The sequence below is a fragment of the Homo sapiens genome, chromosome 22 (genome assembly GCF_000001405.40).
Source record: "Homo sapiens chromosome 22, GRCh38.p14 Primary Assembly".
NCBI classification, from domain to species: Eukaryota; Metazoa; Chordata; class Mammalia; order Primates; family Hominidae; genus Homo; species Homo sapiens.
The window spans coordinates 31,656,268-31,678,359 of record NC_000022.11 but is presented as its reverse complement, the minus strand read 5'-3'; the positions used below and the strand labels follow the sequence as shown (position 1 = coordinate 31,678,359).

The 22,092-nt window shown below is 47.5% G+C and overlaps 1 protein-coding gene across 11 annotated transcripts in view, besides 8 other annotated features; it reads left to right on the top strand.

Annotated features, from left to right (window-relative positions):
• Positions 12,878 to 13,379: an enhancer, noted in NCBI's record as "H3K4me1 hESC enhancer chr22:32060967-32061468 (GRCh37/hg19 assembly coordinates)". NCBI's record gives its function as "activates a minimal SCP1, AML or CMV promoter by ChIP-STARR-seq in primed H9 embryonic stem cells {active_cell/tissue: H9 hESC(primed)}" and the evidence as "EXISTENCE:reporter gene assay evidence [ECO:0000049][PMID:30033119]".
• PISD (phosphatidylserine decarboxylase) overlaps positions 15,796 to 22,092 on the top strand; it is a 44,074-nt gene continuing 37,777 nt past the window's right edge. For 9 of the 11 annotated variants that reach the window (NM_001326420.2, NM_001326418.2, NM_001326413.2 and 6 more), the window contains exon 1: positions 16,145 to 16,216. Coding sequence is in view for 3 of the 11 variants with exons in the window: in NM_001326411.2 (NP_001313340.1) it covers positions 16,152 to 16,216 (65 nt within the window). In the remaining 8 variants the exon portion in view is untranslated. Of the gene's footprint in view, positions 16,217 to 22,092 lie in introns of all 11 variants that reach the window. The other 2 variants (NM_001326412.1, NM_001326421.1) reach the window with 1 other exon arrangement.
• Positions 15,912 to 17,111: an enhancer, noted in NCBI's record as "P300/CBP strongly-dependent group 1 enhancer chr22:32057235-32058434 (GRCh37/hg19 assembly coordinates)". NCBI's record gives its function as "activates an origin of replication core promoter dependent on BRD2, BRD4, P300/CBP, MED14 and CDK7 cofactors, with strong dependence on P300/CBP, by STARR-seq in HCT116 cells {active_cell/tissue: HCT116}" and the evidence as "EXISTENCE:reporter gene assay evidence [ECO:0000049][PMID:35650434]".
• Positions 15,912 to 17,413: a biological region, named in NCBI's record as "P300/CBP strongly-dependent group 1 enhancer GRCh37_chr22:32057235-32058434".
• Positions 16,105 to 16,404: an enhancer, noted in NCBI's record as "active region_18870". NCBI's record gives its function as "activates an Ori minimal core promoter by ATAC-STARR-seq in GM12878 lymphoblastoid cells {active_cell/tissue: GM12878}" and the evidence as "EXISTENCE:reporter gene assay evidence [ECO:0000049][PMID:35858748]".
• Positions 16,520 to 17,413: an enhancer, noted in NCBI's record as "H3K27ac-H3K4me1 hESC enhancer chr22:32056933-32057826 (GRCh37/hg19 assembly coordinates)". NCBI's record gives its function as "activates a minimal SCP1, AML or CMV promoter by ChIP-STARR-seq in naive H9 embryonic stem cells {active_cell/tissue: H9 hESC(naive)}" and the evidence as "EXISTENCE:reporter gene assay evidence [ECO:0000049][PMID:30033119]".
• Positions 16,645 to 16,694: an enhancer, noted in NCBI's record as "active region_18869". NCBI's record gives its function as "activates an Ori minimal core promoter by ATAC-STARR-seq in GM12878 lymphoblastoid cells {active_cell/tissue: GM12878}" and the evidence as "EXISTENCE:reporter gene assay evidence [ECO:0000049][PMID:35858748]".
• Positions 17,085 to 17,224: an enhancer, noted in NCBI's record as "active region_18868". NCBI's record gives its function as "activates an Ori minimal core promoter by ATAC-STARR-seq in GM12878 lymphoblastoid cells {active_cell/tissue: GM12878}" and the evidence as "EXISTENCE:reporter gene assay evidence [ECO:0000049][PMID:35858748]".
• Positions 17,414 to 18,308: an enhancer, noted in NCBI's record as "H3K4me1 hESC enhancer chr22:32056038-32056932 (GRCh37/hg19 assembly coordinates)". NCBI's record gives its function as "activates a minimal SCP1, AML or CMV promoter by ChIP-STARR-seq in naive H9 embryonic stem cells {active_cell/tissue: H9 hESC(naive)}" and the evidence as "EXISTENCE:reporter gene assay evidence [ECO:0000049][PMID:30033119]".

Here is a 22,092-nt window from a genome sequence, read left to right as displayed (position 1 = left end):
AAGTGCTGGGATTACGAGCATGAGCCACAGCACTCGGCCAGATTTCTCTTTTTTAAAAAGTGTTCTAGAAAATTCATAATTCTTCAACTTACAGGGTCATAAGTGAGTCCTTCATGACATCTTTCTCAAACCACCAGTCCCTCCTCCTTCCTTATCCACAGCTGATAGTTTTCCTTCGCATTTCACTGAGGAGGTAGAAGCAATCTGAATACAACTTCCACACCGACACTTGGCTTTTCCTTGCTCGGATCTCATGATACGTGTGCACTTGCTGCCTGTGCCGACAGTGATGCCCTTCTCTCACATTTCTACATGGTTCCTTCAGTTACTGTATTCAGATATGTGCCTTTCCAGATCCCTCTACTGGGAAGTGTACTGCCTCCCATTATATGTCCTCCTTATGGTGTGCGAGATAAGAGAAAGATTTTTTTTTCTTTTTTTGAGACAGAGTCTCACTCTGTCGCCCAGGCTGGAGTGCAGTGGTGTGATCAAGACTCACAGCAACCTCCACCCCGGGTTCAAGCGATTCTCCTGCCTCAGCCTCTCAAGTAGCTGAGATCACAGGCGCCCGCCATGATGCCCGGCTAATTTTTGTATTTTTAGTAGAGAAGGGGTTTCACCATGTTGGCTAGGCTGGTCTCGAACTCCTGACCTCAAGTGATCCACCCGCCTCGGCCTCCCAAAGTGCTGGGATTCCAGGCGTCAGCCACCGCGCCCGGTCGGTGATATATATATATATATATATATATATATATTTTTTTTTTTTTTTTTTTTTTTTTTTTGAGGCGGATTCTCGCTCTGTCGCCCAGGCTGGAGTGCAGTGGCGCGATCTCGGCTCACTGCAAGCTCCACCTTCTGAGTTCACGCCATTCTACTGCCTCAGCCTCCAGAGTAGCTGGGACTACAGGCGCCCACCACCACGCCCGGCTTATTTTTTGTATTTTTAGTAGAGATGGGGTTTCACCGCGTTAGCCAAGATGGTCTCGATCTCCTGACCTCGTGATCCACCCGCCTTGGCCTCCCAAAGAGCTGGGATTACAGGCGTGAGCCACGGCACCCGGCCTGTTTTATATATTTTTTAACACCACCACGTCCCCATATTATTCACGTTAAGCTCCTTGAGGTCAAAGACTTTGCTATATTCACTCTGGCCCCTCGGACATCTAGAACAAAACTTGGTCTTACGTGGTGGGAGCTCAGGAAATACTTCATGCGTCAATGAATGATTCCCGCCCCCGTTGCTACACAGACCTGCCCAAGTCCTCTTTACCTCGCTGACTCTCTGAATATTTGAAGACGCCCCCTAATTTTTCTCCACCCCTTCTTAAATTATTCCTCAAGGGACCTGGATTCTAGCTGCCCGAGCACTGACAGCGAAACCGGGCACTTCCTGGTATTCGGATATGCGCAGCGCCAAGCGCAGCCGCACCCACTGCTGGCCTCACGCCGTCTGATTGGCTGCAGCTCTCCGGAGGGGCGGGGCCATCCGAGAAGCTATCCATATTGGAGGAGGCTGCTAGTCCTTTGCTGGTACCTGCCGGGCTGGAGAGCGGGGAGGGTCACGTGGTTAAGACTCGCCACGTGGGCCGGGCGCGGTGACTCAAGCCTGTAATCCCAGCACTTTGGGAGGCAGAGGCGGGCGGATCACTTGAGACAGGCCTGGCCAACCTGGTGACTCTACTAAAAATACAAAAAATTAGCCGGGAGTGGTGGCGCGCGCCTGTAATCCCAGCTACTCGGGAAGCTGAGGCAGAAGAATCGCTTGAACTCGGGAGACTGTAGGTGCCGTGAGCCGAGGTCGCGCCACTGCACTCCAGCCTGGGAGAAAGACTCGCCTAAGCAGTTTCTCTCTTTTCTTTTGCATTTTTAATCTTAGACTTTTGGAGATGTTGAAATGGTCGCTGAAACACTGCAAACACAGGGATGGGGGACAGATCCCAAAGTATAGCAGCTACTCATGAGTCCCAGCGCCCCTCCTGTCCTTCCCCTACTGCTGCCTAAGTGGTCTTCCTAAAACACAAGTTTGCACTTGTCAGAACCACTCCTTAAGATCTCTCATGGGTTGCCCTCGTCTCCAAATAAAGATACTAACCACTGAGCTGGCCACGGTGTCTCACGCCTGTAATAGCAGCAGCACCTGGGGAGGCCAAGGCGGAGGACGTTTCACTTGAAGCCAGGAGTTCGAATGTGTGTGTGTCTGTGTGTGTGTGTCTGTGTGTGTGTGTGTGTGTATATATATATATATATATATATATATATGCCGGGCACGGTGACTCACGCCTGTAATCCCAACACTTTGGGAGGCCAAGGTGGGTGGATCACCTGAGGTCAGGAGTTCAAGACCAGCCTGGCCAACATGGTGAAACCCTGTCTCTACTACAATACTAAAAATACAAAAATTAGTCGGGCATGGTGGCAGGAGCCCGTAATCCCAGCTATGTAGGAGGCTGAGGCTGGAGAATCACTTGAACCCAGGAGGCGGAGGTTGCAGCGGCCAGAGATTGTGTCATTGCACTCCAGCCTGGGTGACAAGAGCAAAACTCCGTTTCAAAATAAATAAATATATATGTATATATATATAATATACATAATATATAATATATATTATATATATTTTTTATATATGGGGGGGGCAAGGTCTTGCTATGTTGCCCAGGCTGGATTAGAACTCTTGGGCTCAAATGATCCTCCTGCCTCAGCCTCCAAAGTAGCTGGGATTACAGGTGTCAGCTACTGTGCCCAGCCTATTTTTACATCTTTATTTTTATTTTATTTATTTATTTTTTGAGACGGAATCTCACTTTCTCGCCCAGTCTGAAGTGCAGTGGCGTGATCTTGGCTCACTGCAGCCTCCGCCTTTCCGGTTCAAGTGATTCTCCTCCTTCAGCCTCCTGAGTAGCTGGGATTACAGGCACATGCAAACATGCCTGCCTAATTTTTGTGTGTTTAGTAGAGATGGGGTCTCGCTCTGTTAGCCAGGGTGGTCTTGAACTTCTTTTTTTTTTTTTTGAGGCGGAGTCTCACTCTGTCACCCAGGTTGGAGTGCAATGGCATGGTCTTGGCTCACTGCAACCTCCGCCTCCCGGGTTCAAGTGATTCTCCCGCCTCAGCCTCCCCAGTAGCTGGGACTACAGGCACGTGCCACCACACCCGGCTAATTTTTGTATCTTTATTAGAGACACGGTTTCACTGTGTTGCCCGGTCTGGTCTCGAACTCCTGACCTCATGATCCGCCTGCCTGAGCCTCCCGAAGTGCTGGGATTTCAGGCATGAGCCACCGCACCCAGCTATTTTTACATAATTTAAAAGTACACAAATAGGCCAGGTGCGGTGGCTCACGCCCATAATTCCAACACTTTGGGAGGCCAGGAGTTCGAGACTGGCCTGGCCAACATGGTGAAACCTCATCTCTACTAAAAATACAAAAATTAGCTGGACGTGGTGGTGCACGCCTGTAATCCCAGCTACAAAGGAGACCTGGAGTTGTCTGGATACCTCTGTTTCAGGAAGGCAAAGGCCATAGTGTATTATTTTGGAAAAGGAATTTCCAGTGAAAGATTTTGAACATAAGCACATCATTTGGTCAAATATGTCTAAGTCTTGCTATCTTTTCTTGGCTTTGGAAGAAAAAGAACTTTAGAAGTAGGAGGACACAACCGGGCACGGTGGCTCACACCTGTAATCCCAGCACTTTGGGAGGCCGAGGAACGCGGATCACGAGGTCAGGAGATCCAGACTATCCTGCCTAACATGATGAAACCCTGTCTCTACTAAAAATAGAAAAATTAGCCAGGCGTGGTGGCACGCACCTGTAGTCCCAGCTACTAGGGAGGCTGAGGCAGGAGAATTGCTTGAACCAAGGAGGTGGAGGTTGCAGTGAGCCGAGATTGCACCATTGCACTCCAACCTTGGCAACAGAGTGAGACTCCATCTCAAAAAAAAAAAGAAGGAAAAAAAAGAAGAAGTAAAGAAGTAGGAGGACACATCCTCATTTAGAAAATTGCCTCATTTCCCCGTGATGCTCCAGTGGGTACGAGAGTGAGTGTAATGAAATAGATGGTACATCTGTCAACTCCAAAACTCAAAGGAAACATTCTTTTAAAGAACTGGCTATCTCAAAGTGTTAATAAGATTCTTGGCAAGATTAAATCAACACTGAAATAAAAAGAGCAAGATAAAAACCTATATATTTAAAGAATTTATTTTGAAAGAAAAGCCATACAAATATAATATAAGCTGTTTATTCTTACATTGTATGTGCAAAATCCGAATGAGAAGTACATTCCTGGCCAGGTGCGGTGGCTCACACCTGTAATCCCAGCACTTTGGGAGGCCGAGACAGGCGGATCACAAGGTCAGGAGATCAAGACCATCCTGGCTAACACGGTGAAACCCTGTCTCTACTAAAAATACAAAAAAATTAGCCAGGCGTAGTGGCAGGCGCCTGTAGTCCCAGCTACTCAGGAGGCTGAGGCAGGAGAATGGTGTGAACCCGGGGGGCGGAGCTTGCAGTGAGCCGAGATAGCGCCACTGCACTCCAGCCTGGGCGACAGAGTGAGACTCTGTGTCAAAAAAAAAAAAAAGAGAAGTACATTCCTGATGTGTGTTTGTCAGCTATTGTTGTGATATTGCTGCATAACAAATCACCCCAAATTCAGTAGAGAACAATAGTGACCATTTATCCTCATGCTCATGGATCTGCAGGTTGACTGAGGTGGGCTGATCTAGGCTTGGCTCAGTCTAATGGCTCTGCTTCAGCTGCAGGTCAACCGGGCATGGCTGTACTTTAGGTCCAGGTCTGCTTAAAATGTCTCTTATTCTCCTTGCACCAACTGCTCCCTAGAGCAGGAGATCCAAGCCAAGTCAAACAGCACATTTAAGGCCACTCCTCTCTTCACATCCTTATATGATCCATTGACCAAAGCAAGACACATGGCCAAGCTCCACATGAACAAGGCAGAGAAAATATTCTACTCATAGTGGAAGAATTGTAGACCTACATGTCAAATGAGAAGGATATAACACAGCAAGAGCATGTGCCGGGCACGGTGGCTCACACCTGTAATCGTAGCACTTTGGGAGGCAGAGGCAGGCAGATCACGAGGTCAGGAGATCAGAACCATCCTGGCTAACACGGAGAAAACCTGTCTCTACTAAAATTACAAAAATTAGCCGGGCATAGTGGTGGGTGCCTGTAGTCTCACCTACTTGGGAGGCTGAGGCAGGAGAATCGCTTGAACCCAGGAGGCGGACATTGCAATGAGCCGAGATTGCACTACTGCACGCCAGCCTGGGCAACAGAGTGAGATTCCGTCTCAAAAACAAACAAACAAAATACAGCAAGATCATGAATAATTGGGATAAATGAACAATAATTCAATCTACCATAAAGTATAAAGAAAATAGAATATAAGAAGAAATATTCTTCCTATAAGAATATAAGAGGCTGGGCGCGGTGGCTCATGCCTGTAATCCCAGCACTTTGGGAGGCCAAGGCAGCGGATCACCTGAGGTCGGGAGTTCGAGACCAGCCTGACCAAAATGGAGAAACCCCGTCTATACTAAAAATACAAAATTAGCCAAGCATGGTGGCACATGCCTGTAATCCCAGCTACTTGGGACGCTGAGGCAGGAGAATTGCTTGAACCTGGGAGGCAGAGGTTGCGGTGAGCTGAGATCGCACCATTGCACTCCAGCCTGGGCAACAAGAGCGAAACTCCATCTCAAAAAATAATTTAAGAATGAGGCTGGGTGCAGTGGCTCCTGCCTGTCATCCTAGCACTCTGGGAGGCCCAGGTGGGCAGATCACTTGAGGTCAGGAGTTGAGACTAGCCTGGGCAACATTGTGAAACCCTCTCTCCACCAAAAAATACAAAAATTAGCGCAGGATTTCTTGGAATTTCTTTCAGAGACTTCGTGCTGCAAATCACACTGCAAGGTGGTGCACGCCTGTAGTCCTCAGCTGCTCAGGAGGCTGAGGCAGGAGAATGGCTTGAACCTGGGAGGTGGAGATTGCAGTGAGCAGAGATTGCACCACTGCATTTCAGCCTGGGCAACAGAGTGAGAGAGAGTCTGTCTCAAGAAAAAAAAAAAAAGAAGAAGAATGTAAGAGTGATAGAAGTAGCCAAAAAATTGGATCTACCTAAAAGGTAATCTTATGAACAGCTTGAGACCTAAGAAATCTGTTTCAAAATCTGCTTTGCAAAACAATTTTCATGGCTGGGTGTGGTGGCTCACACCTATAATCCCAGCACTTCGAGAGGCTGAGACAGGCAGATCACTTGAGCCTAGGAGTTGGAGACCAACCTGGGCAACATGGCAAAACCCTGTCTCTACAAAAAATACAAACGAAGTAGCCAGGTGTGGTGGTCCATGCCTGTAGTCCCAGCTACTTGTGAGACTGAGGCGGGAGGATTTCTGGAGCCCAGGAGGCCCAGGCTGCAAAGAGCTGTGAGTGTGCCAGCTGCACTCCAGCCTGGGGACAGAGCAAGACCCTGTCTCAAAACAACAACAGCAATGAAAACAAGTTATCTGTCTCTGGCAGCGTCAAACACACAGAAATTAAAATCTGGCAGGATTTCTTGGAATTTCTTTCAGAGACTTCATGCTGCACATCATTCAGATGATTAAAGTTCCAGGTCACTTTCTTTTTTTTTTTTTTTCTTTTGAGATGGAGTCTTGCTCTGTTGCCAGGCTAGATTGCAGTGGTGCCATCTTGGCTCACTGCATCCTCTACCTCCCTGGTTCAAGTGACTCTCCCACCTCAGCCTCCCGAGTAGCTGGGACTACAGGCATGAGCCACCACAGCTGACTAATTTTTGTATTTTTAGTAGGGATGGGGTTTTGCCATGTTGGCCAGGCTGGTCTCAAACTCCTGACCTCAGGTGAACCACCCACCTCGGCCTCCCAAAGTGCTGGGATTACAGGCGTGAGCCACTGCACCCGCCCTGCCAAGATCACTTTCTTGCAACATATTGTTACAAAACTTTTGTGAGCTGAATGGGGTTATATGACTTTAGCATTCCACAACCTCTCTTCCATAGCTCTGTATTCAGATACCAGCCACAGAATTCCGTTGTTCCACTTCAATACTCACATTATCCCAGTATTTTTTGGAAGGCCCAGGAGTCATGAAAATTCAGCCTGGAAAACTTTGGACACCTTGGGTGAAATGCAGCAGCCTGGAAGTCAGATTGCAGTATCCAGTCCAGCCATTTCACTTGCTGACCCTGTGACCTTCACAGAGTCACGTGACCTCTCCTTATCTTTAAAATGAAAAACTTGAGGCCGGGCGTGGTGACTCAGTCTCTACTAAAAATATAAAAATTACCCAGGTGTGGTGGCGTGTGCCTGTAATCCCAGCAGTTCAGGAGGCTGAGACACAAGAATCACTTGAGCCTAAGAGGTGGAGGTTGCAGTGAGCTGAGGTCACACCATCACACTCCAGCCTGGGCAACAAAGTGAGACTCCATCTAAAAAACAAAAACAAAAAGAAATAATACAGAGATCCTGGTGTACCCTTTACCCAATTTTCCCCCAATGGTAACATCTTGCAAAACTATACAATATCATAATCACAGTATTGACATCCATATAGTCAAGATACAGTACATTTCTATTACCAGGACCTACAAGGATGCCTTAGTCCTTTTATAGCTGCACACATTTCCCTCCCACTCCCACCCTCTCTTTAATCTCTGGCAACCACTAATCTGTTCTCCATTTCTCAATTTTGCTTGCCATGTAACATAACACATTCACAGGTTCTGAGGATTAGAATGTGGACATCACTGGCCGGGCACGGTGGCTCACGCTTGTAATCCCAGCACTTTGGGAGGCCAAGGCGGGTGGATCACGAGGTCAGGAGATCAAGACCATCCTGGCTAACACGGTGAAACCCCGTCTCTACTAAAAATACAAAAAATTAGCCAAGCACGGTGGTGGACGCATGTAGTCCCAGCTACTCTGGAGGCTGAGGCAGGAGAATGGTGTGAACCCAGGAGGCGGAGCTTGCAGTGAGCTGAGATCGTGCCACTGCACTCCAGCCTGGGTGACAGAGCAAGACTCTGTTAAAAAAAAAAAAAAAAGAATGTGGACATCACTGAGGATGGGGGTGTAGTGGTATTATTTAGCCTATCACAAAGTCGCATTGCAAACATCCCTTCCTCCAGGAGCCTTCTATACAAATCACTGCCACCAACCCAAATTAATTAAGCCATGCTACTTTTTTTTGAGATGGAATCTCACTCTGTCACCAGGCTGGAGTGCAGTGGTGCAATCTTGGCTCACTGCAGCCTCTGCCTCCTGGGTTCAAGCGATTCTCCTGCCTCAGCCTCCCAAGTAGCTGGGACTACAGGCGTGCGCCACCATGCCCAGCTAATTTTTGTATTTTTAATAGAGACGGGTTTTCACCATGTTGGCCAGGATGGTCTCGATCTCTTGAGCTTGTGATCCACCCGCCTCAGCCTCCCAAAGTGTTGGGATTACAGGCGTGAGCCACTGCACCTGGCCAAGTCACAGTACTTTTAAGTGTACTTTCTAATACCTACCATTAACCATAAACCAAATGTAAAGTTAATTATGTGACAGTTTCAATGTACAATTTTGAGAATTAGGGTTTTTTTTTTTTTTTTTTTTGAGACAGAGTTTCGCTCTTGTTGCCCAGGCTGGAGTGCAATGGCACGATCTCAGCTCACTGCAACCTCCACCTTCTGGGTTCAAGTGATTCTCCTGCCTCAGCCTCCCAAGTAGCTGGGATTATAGGTGTGCGCCACCACGCCTGGCTAATTTTTGTATTTTTAGTAGAGATGGGGTTTCACCATGTTGGTCAGGCTGGTCTCGAGCTCCTGACCTCGTGATCCGCCTGCCTTGGCCTCCCAAAGTGTTGGGATTACAGGCGTGAGCCATCACGCCCGGCTGTTGTTTTGTTTTGTTTTGTTTGTTTGAAACAGGGTCTTACTTCTTCACCTAAGCTGAAGTGCAGTAGCACCATCTTGTCTCACTGCAACCTCTGCTTCGCAGACTCAAGTGATTCTCTAGCCTCATCCTCTCGCATAGCTGGGACTAACAGGTGTGAGCCACTAATTCCCAGCTAATTTTTGTATTTTGTAGACACAGGGTTTTGCTACTTTGCCCAGGCTGGTCTTGAACTCCTGGGCTCAAAGCAATCTGCCTGCCTAGGCCTCCCAAAGTGCTAGGACTCCAGGCGTGAACCACTGCACCGGGCCAAGAATTTGTTTTTGTTTTTGTTTTTGAGATGGAGTCTCGCTCTGTCGCCCAGGCTAAAGTGCAGTTGTGCAATCTTGCCTCACTACAACCTCCACCTACTGAGTTCAAGTGATACTCCTGCCTCAGCCTCCCTATAGCTGAGATTACAGGTGCATGCCACCACTCCTGGCTATTTTTTGTACTTTTAGTAGAGACAGGTTTTCACCATGTTGGCCAGGCTGGTCTTAAACTCCTGACCTCAAGTGATCCACCCATCTTGGCCTCCCAAAGTGCTGGGATTACAGGAGTGAGCCACTGCACCCAGCCAGCTTTTTTGTTTTTGTCTTTTCTTTGAGACATGGTCTTGCTCTGCTGCTCAGACTAGGGTGGCAGTGGTGCAATCATAGCTCACTGCAGCCTCAAATTCCTGGGCTCAAGTGATCTTCCTGCCTCAGCCTCTCAAGTAGCTAGGATCCTGTGGGCGTGTCACCACGCATTGCAATAATTGGCTTTTTTATAACTACACGGTACCTTACAGTTTTCGATAATAATTATCCCTATGTAACAAACATCATGCAATAGAACAAATGAGATTTTCTTGTTGGGGGGCGGGGTGTGGAGCTTGAATTCTAAAAACGCAGATTTCGAAGGAGGACTCCTCCCTGATGTCTGTACTCACCAGAATATAAGCTTCATAAAGGCATGGATGCCCACGGTCATACCTAGAGCAGACTCCCATAAATACACACTTATTAAATCAATGAATAAATAAATGAATGGATGGATTAAGCAAATGCTTCTGACTAGAAGTGTCAGAGCATGGGCAAGGTTGAGAGGCAGCAGCCCTAAAATTAAACAGTGATAATAACAAAGCTAGCAGCTTCCACTTATCAAGCACTTCCTGTGTGCTGCACACAAATAATGTTGCAAACCCTCATTATAACACTATAAATTGGGTGCATCACCCAGGCTGGAGTGCAGTGGCATGATCGTGGCTCACTGCAGCCTCGATTTCCTGAGCTCGGGTGATCCTCCCACCTCAGCCTCCCAAGTAACTGGGACTACAGGTATGCACCATGATGCTGGGCTAATTTTTCTATTTGTTGTAGAGATGGAGTTTCACCATTTTCTCAAACTCCTTGGCTCAAGTGATCCTCCTGCCTGAGCCTCCCAGAGAGCTGGGATTACTAGCTTGAGATGGAACAAGGTAAACTGGTTTCCACAGTGGCTGCACCATTTTACATTCTCATCAGCAATGTACAAGGATTCCAGTTTTTCCCACATCCTCTCCAATGCTTGTCATCTTCCTTTTTTTTTTTTTTTTTTTGGAGATGGAGTCTTGCTCTGTCACCCAGGCTGGAGAGCAGTGGCGCAATCTCAGCTCACTGCAACCTCCGCCTTCTGGGTTCAAGTGATTCTACGGCCTCAGCCACCTGAGTAACTGGTATTACAGTTACTCGGCTCACTGCAACCTCTGCCTCCCAGGTTCAAGCGATTCTCTTGCCTCAGCCTCTTGAGTAGCTGATATTACAGTTACTCGGCTCACTGCAACCTCCGCCTCCCAGGTTCAAGCGATTCTCTTGCCTCAGCCTCCTGAGTAGCTGGGAGTACAGGCATGCACCACCACACCCAGCTAATTTTTGTATTTTTACTAGAGACAGGGTTTTACCATATTGGCCAGGCAATCTCGAACTCCTGACCTCATGATCCGCCCTCCTTGGCCTCTCAAAATGCTGGGATTACAGGTGTGAGCCACCGAGCCCAGCCCGACCAGCTAATTTTGTCTCTACTAAAAAGTAGAGACAGGGTTTCACCATGTTGGCCTGGCTGGTCTTGAACTCCTGACCTCAGGTGATCCACCCACCTTGGCCTTCCAAAGTGTTGGGATTACAGGTGTGAGCCACTGTGCCCAGCCTAAAATCAACCATTTTAAAGTGGACAATTCAGTGACATTTAGTACATTCACAACGTGGTGTACCATTTCTGTCTAATTCAGGACAAATTTTATCATCTCAAAATAAAACCTTGTTGTGCCTATCAGGTAGTTACCAATGTTTCCCAATTTTAACAGATTAAGAAATGGACTAAGACAATAGGAAAAGTGCTGGCTGGGAGCCATGGCTCACACTTGTAATCCCAACTTTTTGGGAGGTCGAGGTAAGAGGATTACTTGAGCCTAAGAGTTGGAGACCAGCCTGGGTAACATAGTGAGACCCTCATCTCTATAAAAAATACAAAATAAGCTGAGTGTGGTGGTGTGCACCCGTAATCCCAGCTACTCGGGAGGCTGAGGTGGGAGGATTGCTTGAGCCTGGGAGGTCCAGGTTGCAGTGAGCCATGATTGTGCCACTGCACTCTAGCCTGGGTGTCAGAGCAATATCCTGTCTCAAAAAAAAAAAAAAAAAAAAAGAAAAAGAAAAAGAAAAAAAGTGCTAAGGACCCACAACAAAATTTTTAATATTAAAATTAAAAAATGAGGCTGGGTGCGATGGCTCATGCCTGTAATCCCAACACTTCGGGAGGCCGAGGCAGGAGGATCACTTGAGCCCCCGAATTTGGGATCAGCCTGGCCAACATGACGAAACCCTGTCTCTCTAAACAAAAATACAAAATTTAGCCAGGCGTGGTGGCCAGTGCTTGTAATTGAAGGCACTGGAGAGGCTGAGGCAAGAGAATCGTTTGAACCCGGTAGGCGGAGATTGCAGTGAGCCGATATCGCGGGCCACTGCACTCCAGCCTGGGCCACAGAGTGAAACTCTGTCTCAAAGGAAAAAAAGGAAAAGAATATAATAATAATGAATTCAGCTTGGATTTATAAATATAAATGTGTTAATATAAAGACAATAGTCTTTATACCAATACGGTTGTAAAATAAAATTCTTAATTTTTTATGGAGAAAAGGGTCAGTCCACTGAGGCAAAAGTGCTTGGGGCTCACGAAAGCCTCGAAGCTCTGCCACTACCATCCACACTGCAAAAATCCTTTGAAAACAAAATTGAGGCAAGCTCGTTTTTTTTTTTTTTCTTGAGACGGAGTCTCGCTCTGTCGCCCAGGCTGGAGTGCAGTGGCGCTATCTCAGCTCACTGCAAGCTCTGCCTTCCGGGTTTACGCCATTCTCCTGCCTCAGCCTCCAGAGTAGCTGGGACTACAGACGCCCGCCACCACGTCCGGCTAATTTTTTTGTATTTTTAGTAGAGACGGGGTTTCACCGTGTTAGCCAGGATGGTCTCGATCTCCTGCCCTCGTGATGCGCACGTCTCCGCCTCCCAAAGTGCTGGGATTACAGGCGTGAGCCACCGCGCCCAGCCAAGCAAGCTCGTTCTTAAATGCTAGGCTAATTCTGCCCCCTAGCGGCCACAGAGAAATCTCAGAAATTAATGCCCCCAGTTGTTGAGTAATTCGCACCTACCAGGTGCCTTGAACTTACGCTGCATTATTTTGTCCTCACAATTCCATGAGGTTAAGTGATATCCAAATGTATAGATAAGCTGCCGAAGATTCGAGTGCTTAAGTCGGTTTGTTGTTGTTTTTTTTTGAGACGGGGTCTCAAAAGACAGGATCTTACGGAAGTTAATGCTGTTTCCTACTGAAGGAGGCACAGCGAGCGCAAGCCTTGGTGGGCAGGAAGCGTGCTTTAAAGTTTGAGACTGTCAGGCCCGGCGCGGTGGCTCACGCCTGTAATCCTGGCACTTTGGGAGGCCGAGGCGGGCAGACTTGAGGTCAGCAATTTGAGACCAGTCCGGCTAACATGATGAAAACCCGTTTCTACTAAAAATTCGAAAATTAGCTGGGTGTGTGGCACGCCTGTAGTCCCAGCTACTCGGAAGGCTGAGGCAGGAGAATCGCTTGAACCCGGGAGGTGGAGGCTGCAGTGAGCCGAGATCGCATCTCTGCACTCCAACCTGGGCAACAGAGTGAGGCTCTGTCTCAAAAAATAAAGTTGGAGACTTTTATTCTAAAAGCATTCAGTGAGCCATTTATTTATTTATTTTCCTGTAAGCTTGGAAAAATAGGTTCTTCCCCACCCATCTACATGACAGTAATGAGCAAATATCCTTATCAGATAATACATGATTTGCAAACATTTTCTTTCATTCTGTGGGTTGCCTTTTCTCTCTCTCTCTCTTTTTTTTAAGGCAGAGTTTCACTCTTGTTGCCCAGGCTGGAGTGCAATGGTACGATCTCGGCTCACCACAACCTCCACCTCCCATATTCAAGTGATTCTCTTGCCTCAGCCTCCCGAGTAGATGGGATTACAGGCTTGCGCCACCACATGCGGCTAATTTTTGTATTTTTACTACAGACAGGGTTTCACCACGTTGGCCAGGCTAGTCTCCAACTCCTGATCTCAGGTGATCTGCCCGCCTTGGCCTCCCAAAGTGCTGGGGTTACAGGCGTGAGACACCGCGCCCAGCGTCTTTTCACTCTCTTGATAGTGTTCTTTGATGCACAAAAGTTTTAATTTCGAAGTATATCTTTTTGTTGTTTTTGTTGTTGTTGCCTGTGCTTTTAACGTCATATACAAGAAATCATTGCTAAATCCAACGTCATGAAGATTTCCCCTATGTTTTCGTCTAAGAGTATTATAGTTTTAGCTCTTCAGTTTACATCTCTGATCCATTTTGAATGAATTTTTGTATATGGTGTAAGGCTGCACTTTACTTTTTGTATATGGATATTCAGTTTTCCCAATGCACTTCATTTGGAAATAATTTCCCCCCATTCCCTGCTGGTTTACTACTCTCAATTGGATAGTAAAACCAATTAAACCAATATGTATTTTTTTTTTAAATGGTGTCTCACTCTGTCTCCCAGGCTGGAGTGCAATGGCATTATCTCAGCTCACTGCAACCTCCCCCTCCCGGGTTCAAGCAATTCTCGTACCTCAGCCTCTGGAGTAGCTGGGATTACAGGCAGGCGCCACTATGCCCAGCTAATTTTTGTATTTTTAATAGAGATGGGGTTTCACCATGTTGGCCAGGCTGGTCTCGAACTCCTGACCTCAGGTGATCCGCCCGCCTTGGCCTCCCAAAGTGCTGGGATCATAGGGTGAGCCACGGTGCCCAGCCTCTTAAAAAAAAAAAAAAAGAGATGGAGTCTCACTATGTTGTCCAGGCTGGTCTCTTTTTTACTTCCTTTTTTTTTTTTTTTTTTTTTTTGAGACGGAGTCTCACTCTGTCACCCAGGCTGGAGTGCAATGGCGCGATCTCGGCTCGCTGCAAGTCCGCCTCCCGGGTTCACGCCATCCTCCTGCCTCAGCCTCCAGAGTAGCTGGGACTACAGGCGCCCGCCACCACGCCCGGCTAATTTTTTTTGTATTTTTAGTAGAGATGGGGTTTCATCGTGTTAGCCAGGATGGTCTCAATCTCTTGACCTCGTGATCCGCCCACCTCGGCCTCCCAAAGTGCTGAGATTACAGGCGTGAGCCACCGCGCCCGGCCCAGGCTGGTCTCAACTCCTTGGCTCAAGCTATCCTCCCACCTCAGCCTCCCAGTGAGTGGGGATTGCAGGCGTGAGCCACTGCGCCCGGCCAAAACCAATTCTATACATTTGTTTTTTTCTTTTCCGACTTTTGAAAACCATGACAAAGGGAGGTTTCTTCCCCCCAATACCAAACCTGGTGCCTTTTAAGCTCTCTGTAGGAGCTGAGTATGCCCTAGTTGAACTTAAGCCAACTACACAGAAATACCTGCAGGGACCAGGGAGCATATTCCTCCTCCTGTCAAATGCCTGGTGAAGGCAACTGTGATTATCAGCTTAGCAGATGAAAAAGTAGGGCTGCATTCCTTCAGTTGTTGGACCCAAATTCTGCCAGATTCTGACAAAGGGCTTAAAAGGAAGAATGTTTAGGCCAGGTGCGGTGGCTCACGCTTGTAATCCCAGCATTTTGAGAAGCCGAGGCGGGCGGATCACGAGGTCAGGAGATCGAGACCATCCTGGCTAACATGGTGAAACCCCGTCTCTACGAAAAATATATATAAAAAAATTAGCCGGGCGTTGTGGCGGGCGCCTGTAGTCCCAGCTACTCGGGAGGCTGAGGCAGGAGAATGGCGTCAACCCGGGAGGCGGAGCTTGCAGTGAATCGAGATCGCGCCACTGCACTCCAGCCTGGGCGACAATGAGAGACTCTGTCTCAAAAAAAAAAAAAAAAGAAGAAGATGTTTAGGACATGGTTTTTGGAGTCAGAGACGTATGTTCAAATTCTGGCTTCACTATTTTATAGTCTTTGGGCATATGCCCTTTATGTACCCTTGAAGATGTTGCTTAACCTTCCTGAGCCTCAGGTACCTCATCTTTAAAATGGGGATAATGTCTCGGGCCTAGCTGCGAGTCTCTAGTCAGTGCTCAGTAAAAAGTAGCAGACATGATTGAAAACTCGTTTTCCTCTTACAATTGAAGATAGGAACCTTTTCAAGAGCAAGCACCAGGCACCGAATTTAACGACTGGTTGCATTTCTAGGTGATCCAAGACCGTTTGCCCCCGGTCTCCCTGGCAGCACAGCGGTAGGAGATAAGAATGATATGACACCATGCTTGCAAAGTGCTCACAACACACTCCGGCGCTTAAAAAACGAGAGCTGAGTCATGGATGCCCAGTTTCCCCATCCGTAAAATGAGCAAGTTCGATCACTTGAAACGACATTCTTGGATCTTGGATGACTCAGATTTTCCAGGTACATGAGGAAAGGCACCCAGAGGGAAGGAGGAGGAGTGGCAGTGCTGCGACCAAGCCCAGGTTTAGCGAAACCTACAGCTCCACTAGTTCCCCTACCTCCGCAGGTGCCAAGCGGGTTAGGTGGGGAGTAGCCACAGGGCGGAGCTTAGTCGGCTCCGCCCCCAACCCGCGCTTTTCTCATTGGCCCACTGAACTCGAGACTCGTGACGCCTTAAGCGTGCGCCCAGCGTGTGAAGGGGGCGTGGCACGCTGAGAAGGAGCAGACAAGATGGCGACGTCCGTGGGGCACCGATGTCTGGGATTACTGCACGGGGTCGCGCCGTGGCGGAGCAGGTATAGCAGCGCGGAGAGACTACCTTGGGGCGTGGGGCAACCTGGACCAAGCTGGGGTCTGAAGAGAGATGTTTCTGTGTCGCGGGCTCGCTCTGAGGCGAGCTCGGGTGGAGACGGAGCCACCTTCACCTCGAGCTTAGGAGCAGGTGCGACTGCTCCTGCGTAGGGCGGTCCGGATTTACTTAGGGTGTGGCCTAGAAGCTCGCGCTTTGCCCTTTCCAGCTAGGTGGAAGTTCACGAGGGACAAAAATCAGATGAAATAGGCTACCTGCCCGTCTCTTGAGTCGAGGCAGGGCTTTCAGATGTTCAGATGCCATTTTCTCGTGTGTTCGTTTTCGTAGAAGGAATGATGTCCTGTGGGAAGGACACTAGATTGAGTGTCAGGCAACTTTCATTTCTGGATCTTAGTCTTTGAAGCTAGAGGGTTAGGTTAGGTAATCTCAAAACAATATGTTATGGGGCTAGAGTCTTGGTTACCCTTGTGACCCCCAGCTGTTAGATTCTTAGAAATGTGGGAGACTTGAGGGGTCTTCTGAGTCCAGCTGTCTCTCTTTGGAGTTAATGAGATTGAGGCTCCGAGAGAGGGAGGGATTTGCTCAAGTTCACCTAGCCAGTTTGTAGCAGAGCCCGGACCCCCATCAAGGTACCCCCTCACGCGACGATCTTTCTCTCAGGCTGCCCGCCGTGAGGGCAGTGGTTATACAGAAAATAGCTTAGAGCATTTGGAGTGTCGGAAAATGGATTAAAATGTAGCTGTGATTCAGAGTCGGCTGCCTGGTGTCATTTCAAAGAGCTAAGATTTGAGAGATGCGCCATACTTGTGTGTTTCCTACAGGGTTCATTTTGTCAGCGTTGATCAGAGGATAACCTATTGTTTTGGGAGGAGACGGACACTGGATTTGGACTGAGAGGGAACAGAAACCATCATTGGTCTTGTTATGAAAGCGTCACTCTTTCATCATTAACTGTACAGAAATGATTATCTCTCAGGAGAGGGCTCTGCATTGTGGTGGTAACTGTTAGAATTTGGGCAGGAGACTTTGTTTTCAATGTTATTACCAGGCGTGCTGTGTATGAGTCAACCCTGAATTCATTTAAAGTGTGTCACAGGCTGGGCGCGGTGGCTCACGCCTGTAACCTCAGCACTTTGGTAGGCCAAGGTGGGTGGATCACTTGAGGTCAGGAGTTCGAGACCAGCCTGGCCAATGTGGTGAAACCCTGTCTCTACTAAAAAATACAAAAATTAGCCGGGCATGGTGGCAGGCACCTGTAATCCCAGCTACTTGGGAGGCTGAGGCAGGAGAATTGCTTGAACCTGGGAGGCGGAGGTTGCAATAAGCCAAGACTGCGCCGCTGGAGTCCAGCCTGGGCGACAGAGTGAGACTCTGTCTCAAAAAAATTAAAAATAAATAAAGTGTGTCACGAATTGAAAGGACTAAAATGAGACTCTTAAAAAATTGTTTTTTGTTGTTGTTATTTGTTTTGGAAGTCAGAGCCTCACTCTGTTGCCCAAGAGGGAGTGCAGTGGTGTGATGATGGCTCACTGCAGCCTCCACCTCCTGGTCTCAAGCAGTTCTTCCACCTCAGCCTCCTGAGTAGCTAGGACCACAGGTGCACGCCACCCCGCCCAGCTGCATTTTTTTTGGGGGTGGGGGTGGAGACAGGGTTTCACCATGTTGCCCAGGCTGGTGTTGAACTCCTGGGCTCAAGTGATCCACCCACTTTCACCTCTCTAAGTGCTGGCATTACAGAAGTGAGCCATCGCAGTCCACCTAAAATAATTTTTTTAAATGATGAGAGGAGGCTGTACCTCAGTCACCATCATTAAAAGGGAAAGAAAAAAAGCTATGTTTTAGTACCAGTGTAGATAGATAAGGCTAGACTTAGATGCAGTGGGTGAGAGAGATGAAGATTTGGGTACAATAAGAAACCTTAATTTTCAAAGGTATTCTATATCAAGATAGAAATGATATTAATACACAAACCAAAAAGATAACATTTCTGTGGGTTTTTAGTAAACCAGTGCCTATTTGTGAGACATGTAAATGAAAACCTTATATTTCAGGTAAGTTTTTCAATAACTGGGTGATGTGTGACAGGTGATAGATAACATCTTGGGTGATAATTTAGGGCCATGTTTCCTAAACTCATTTGATAAAAGAATGGGCTGAATGGGCTGGGATGCTTGTTAGAAATAGAGATTCCTTGGGAGTCTCTCTGAGCCTGCTGTAGTTTGGGAGGCTGGCTGATTAAAAAAAACAAAGCCGGGCACGGTGGCGCATGCCTGTAATCCCAGCACTTTGGGAGGCCAAGGTGGGTGGATCATGAGGTCAGGAGATCGAGACCAGCCTGGCCAACATGCTGAAACCCCGTCTCTAACAAAAATTAGCCGGGTGTGGTGGCGTGTGTCTGTAGTCCCAACTACTCAGGAGGTTGAGGCAGGAGAATCTCCTGAACCCGGGAGGCGGAAGTTGCAGTGAGCCGAGATCACGCCACTGGACTCCAGCTTCGGCAACAGAGCAAGACTCCGTCTCAAAAAAAAAAAGATTCCAGATATGCCCCCATCCTACTGCCAATTTCAGATTCAGTAGATATAAGTTGGGGCTCTGGCAACTGTAGTTTTTACAGGTGATTCTTAGGTTCAGGCAAGTACGGACAATAGTACCTAGGAAGTAGCTTCTCGTGCATGACTTCCATCAGAAATATTTATGGCATCCCTACCACTGCAAACCACACTGTCAACGGACCATAGAGAAGGGAGAAGAGAGAAGGGAAGGGGAGCAAATGAAGAAATTAAAAACATTTGAAATAGGCCTTGTCTTCAAGGAACTTTACTATATACTTGTAATACATGGTGGAATACGGGATAAAGCCTTCAAGAGGTCTGTCCGTTCTGTTTTAGGAGAACTTTCACAGCTTTAGAAAGCAAGGGAGACATAAGGACTATAGGCAAAATGTTACTACTAGGGGTGATGTTAAAAATGTCTTAGGCCTGGGCGTGGTGTCTCATGCCTGTAATCCCAGCATTTTGGGAGGCTAAGGCGGGTGGATTGCATGAGCTCAGGAGTTCAAGACCAGCCTGGGCAACATGGCAAAAACCCATCTGTACAAAAAACACAAAAATTAGCTGGTCATAGTGGTGCATACATGTAGTCCCAGCCACCTGGGAGGCTGAGGTAGGAGGATTGCCTGAGCCCAGGAGGTTGAGGCTGCAGTGAGCCAAGATCATGCCACTGCACTCCAGCCTGGGCAACAGAGTGAGACCCTGTCTCAAAAAAAAAAAAAAAAGAAAAAGAAAAAATAGTGCAACTGGCCAGGTGTGGTGGCTTATGTCTGTAATCTCAACACTTTGGGAGGCTGAGGCAGGAGAATTGCTTGAGCCCAAGAGTTCGAGACCAACCTGAGCAACATAGTGAGACCTCCTCTCCGCAAAAAATGGCTGGGTGCACATCTGTGGTCCCAGCTACTTGGGAAGCTAAGGTGGGAGGTTCACTTGTGCCCAGGAGGTCGAGGCTGCAGTGAGCTGTGATTTCACCACTGCATTCCAGCCTGGGTGACAGAGTGAGACCCTGTCTCAAAAAACAAACAAACAAACAAACAAACTTATAACCAGGATGCCATGGAGACAGACTAGTGAGAGTGAATGCTGGTCATAGATGATTGATATGACCATCTCAGTGTATGTCAGCTGAATATCAACTCTTAATAATAACAGTCTAACTAGGTGCCAGGCCCTGAGCTAAGGTTTTGCATGATTGTCTTCTAATGAGGTGAGTTTTGTTTTTGCAGGTGGAGAAACTGAGGCTTAAGATTAGTTAAGAAATTTCCTAAGGTCACACAGCTGCTAAGAAGTGGCAGCGCTGAGATTTGAGTTGCACAGGCAGACTGGAGTGCTCAATTGTGGGCTTTAATTGCCTACTTGAAGGATGCGATGTAGAATGCATGTAGAAGAGACATCTGTTTGAACCCATCCATTCATCTTTCTGGGGCATACTGTCACTATTGAGATTGAAGGCCAGTGAGAACACAGATAAACCCCGTGTTCATCGAGGTATACATACAGTAAACAAATAACTGAATACATGCAGAATCCATTCATTTTGTGTAATAAGAAATGCCATGAAGAAAAAGAAAGCAAGATAATTAAGAAGTTAGTGCTCAACAGAAAGACAAACTTTGCATGTTCTCACTTATTTGTGGGAGCTGTAAATTAAAACGGTTGAACTCATGGAGATAGTAGAAGGATGGTTACCAGAAGCTGGAAAGGGTAGTGGGGGGATGGGAAGAAATGGGGATGGTTAATGGGTATCAAAAAAATAAAATGGGCTGGGTGCAGTGGCTCACGCCTGTAATCCCAGCACTTTGGAGGCCCAGGCGGGTGGATCACCTGAGGTCAGGAGTTCAACACCAGCGTGGCCAACAAACCCTGTCACTACTAAAACTACAAAAAAAAATTAGCCGGGTGTGGTGGTGTGCTCCTGTAATCCCAGCTACTCAGGAGGCTGAGGTAGGAGAATTCCTTGAACCTGGGAGTCAGAGGTTGCAGTGAGCTGAGATTGCGCCATTGCACTCCAGCCTGGGCAACAGAGCAAGATGCCATCTCAAAAAAATATATAAAATAAAATGAATAAGACCTAGTGTTTGCTAGCACAACAGGGTGACTATTGTCAAAAATAATTTAAAATTATTACATTTAAAAATAACTAAAAGGCTGGGTGCGGTGGCTCACGCCTGTAATCCCAGCACTTTGGGAGGCTGAGGCGGGTGGATCACGAGGTCAGGAGTTCAAGATCAGTCTGGCCAAGAAGGTGAAACCCCATCTCTACTAAAAATACAAAAAATTAGCCAGGCATGGTGGTGGGTGCCTGTAATCCCAGCTACTCGGGAGGCTGAGGCAGAGAATTGCTTGAACCCAGGAGGCGGAGGTTGCGGTGAGCTGAGATCATGCCACTGCACTCCAGCCTGGGCGACAGAGCAAAACTCCATCTCAAAAAAACAAAACAAAACACTAAAAGAGTATAACTGGATTGTTTGTAACACAAAGCTTAAATGCTTGAGGGGATAGATATCCCATTTACCTAATGTGATTATTCCATATTGCGTGCCTGTATCAAACTAGCTCATGTAACACATAGATATATATGCCTACTACATACCCAGAAAAATTTTTTTTAAAAATTAAGAAGTTAGTGTTCAAGAGGGCCAACTCTTGGGCATACAGTGCTCAGGAAAAACTGCACTGAGGAGGTAACATTTGAGCAGAGAACTAAATGATGTGGGAGTGAGCCACATAGGAGAGGGGTGTGCCCAGCATAGCAAACAGCAAATGGAGGAGTGTGGAAAGGGGCACATGTGGTGTGGACAAGGAGCGGCAAGAGGAGTGAGTGAGGAGGAAGAGAGGGAAAGTAGCTAGAGATCTGAGAGGCTGACAAGATGTGGGATCTTGTCTTTCTGTTTTGTTTATTTATTTATTTATTTATTTATTTATTTATTTTTGAGACGCAGTCTTGCTCTGTCACCCAGGCTGGAGTGCAGTGTGCGATCTCGGCTCCCTGCAACCTCCGTCTCCCAGATTCAAGCAATTCTTCTGCCTCAGCGTCCTGAGTAGCTGGGACTATAGGCACCGACCACCACACCTGGCTAATTTTTGTATTTTTAGTAGAGATGGAGTTTCACCATGTTGGTCAGGCCGGTCTCGAACTCCTGACCTCGTGATCTGCCCACCTTGGCCTTCCAACGTGCTGGGAGTTCTCATAGGCGTCAGCCACCATGCCCGGCCTTTATTTTTTTGTTTTTTTCAGACAGAGTCTCGCTCTGTCATGCCCAGGCTGGAGTGCAGTGGTGTGATCTTGGCTCATTGCAACCTCCACCTCCTG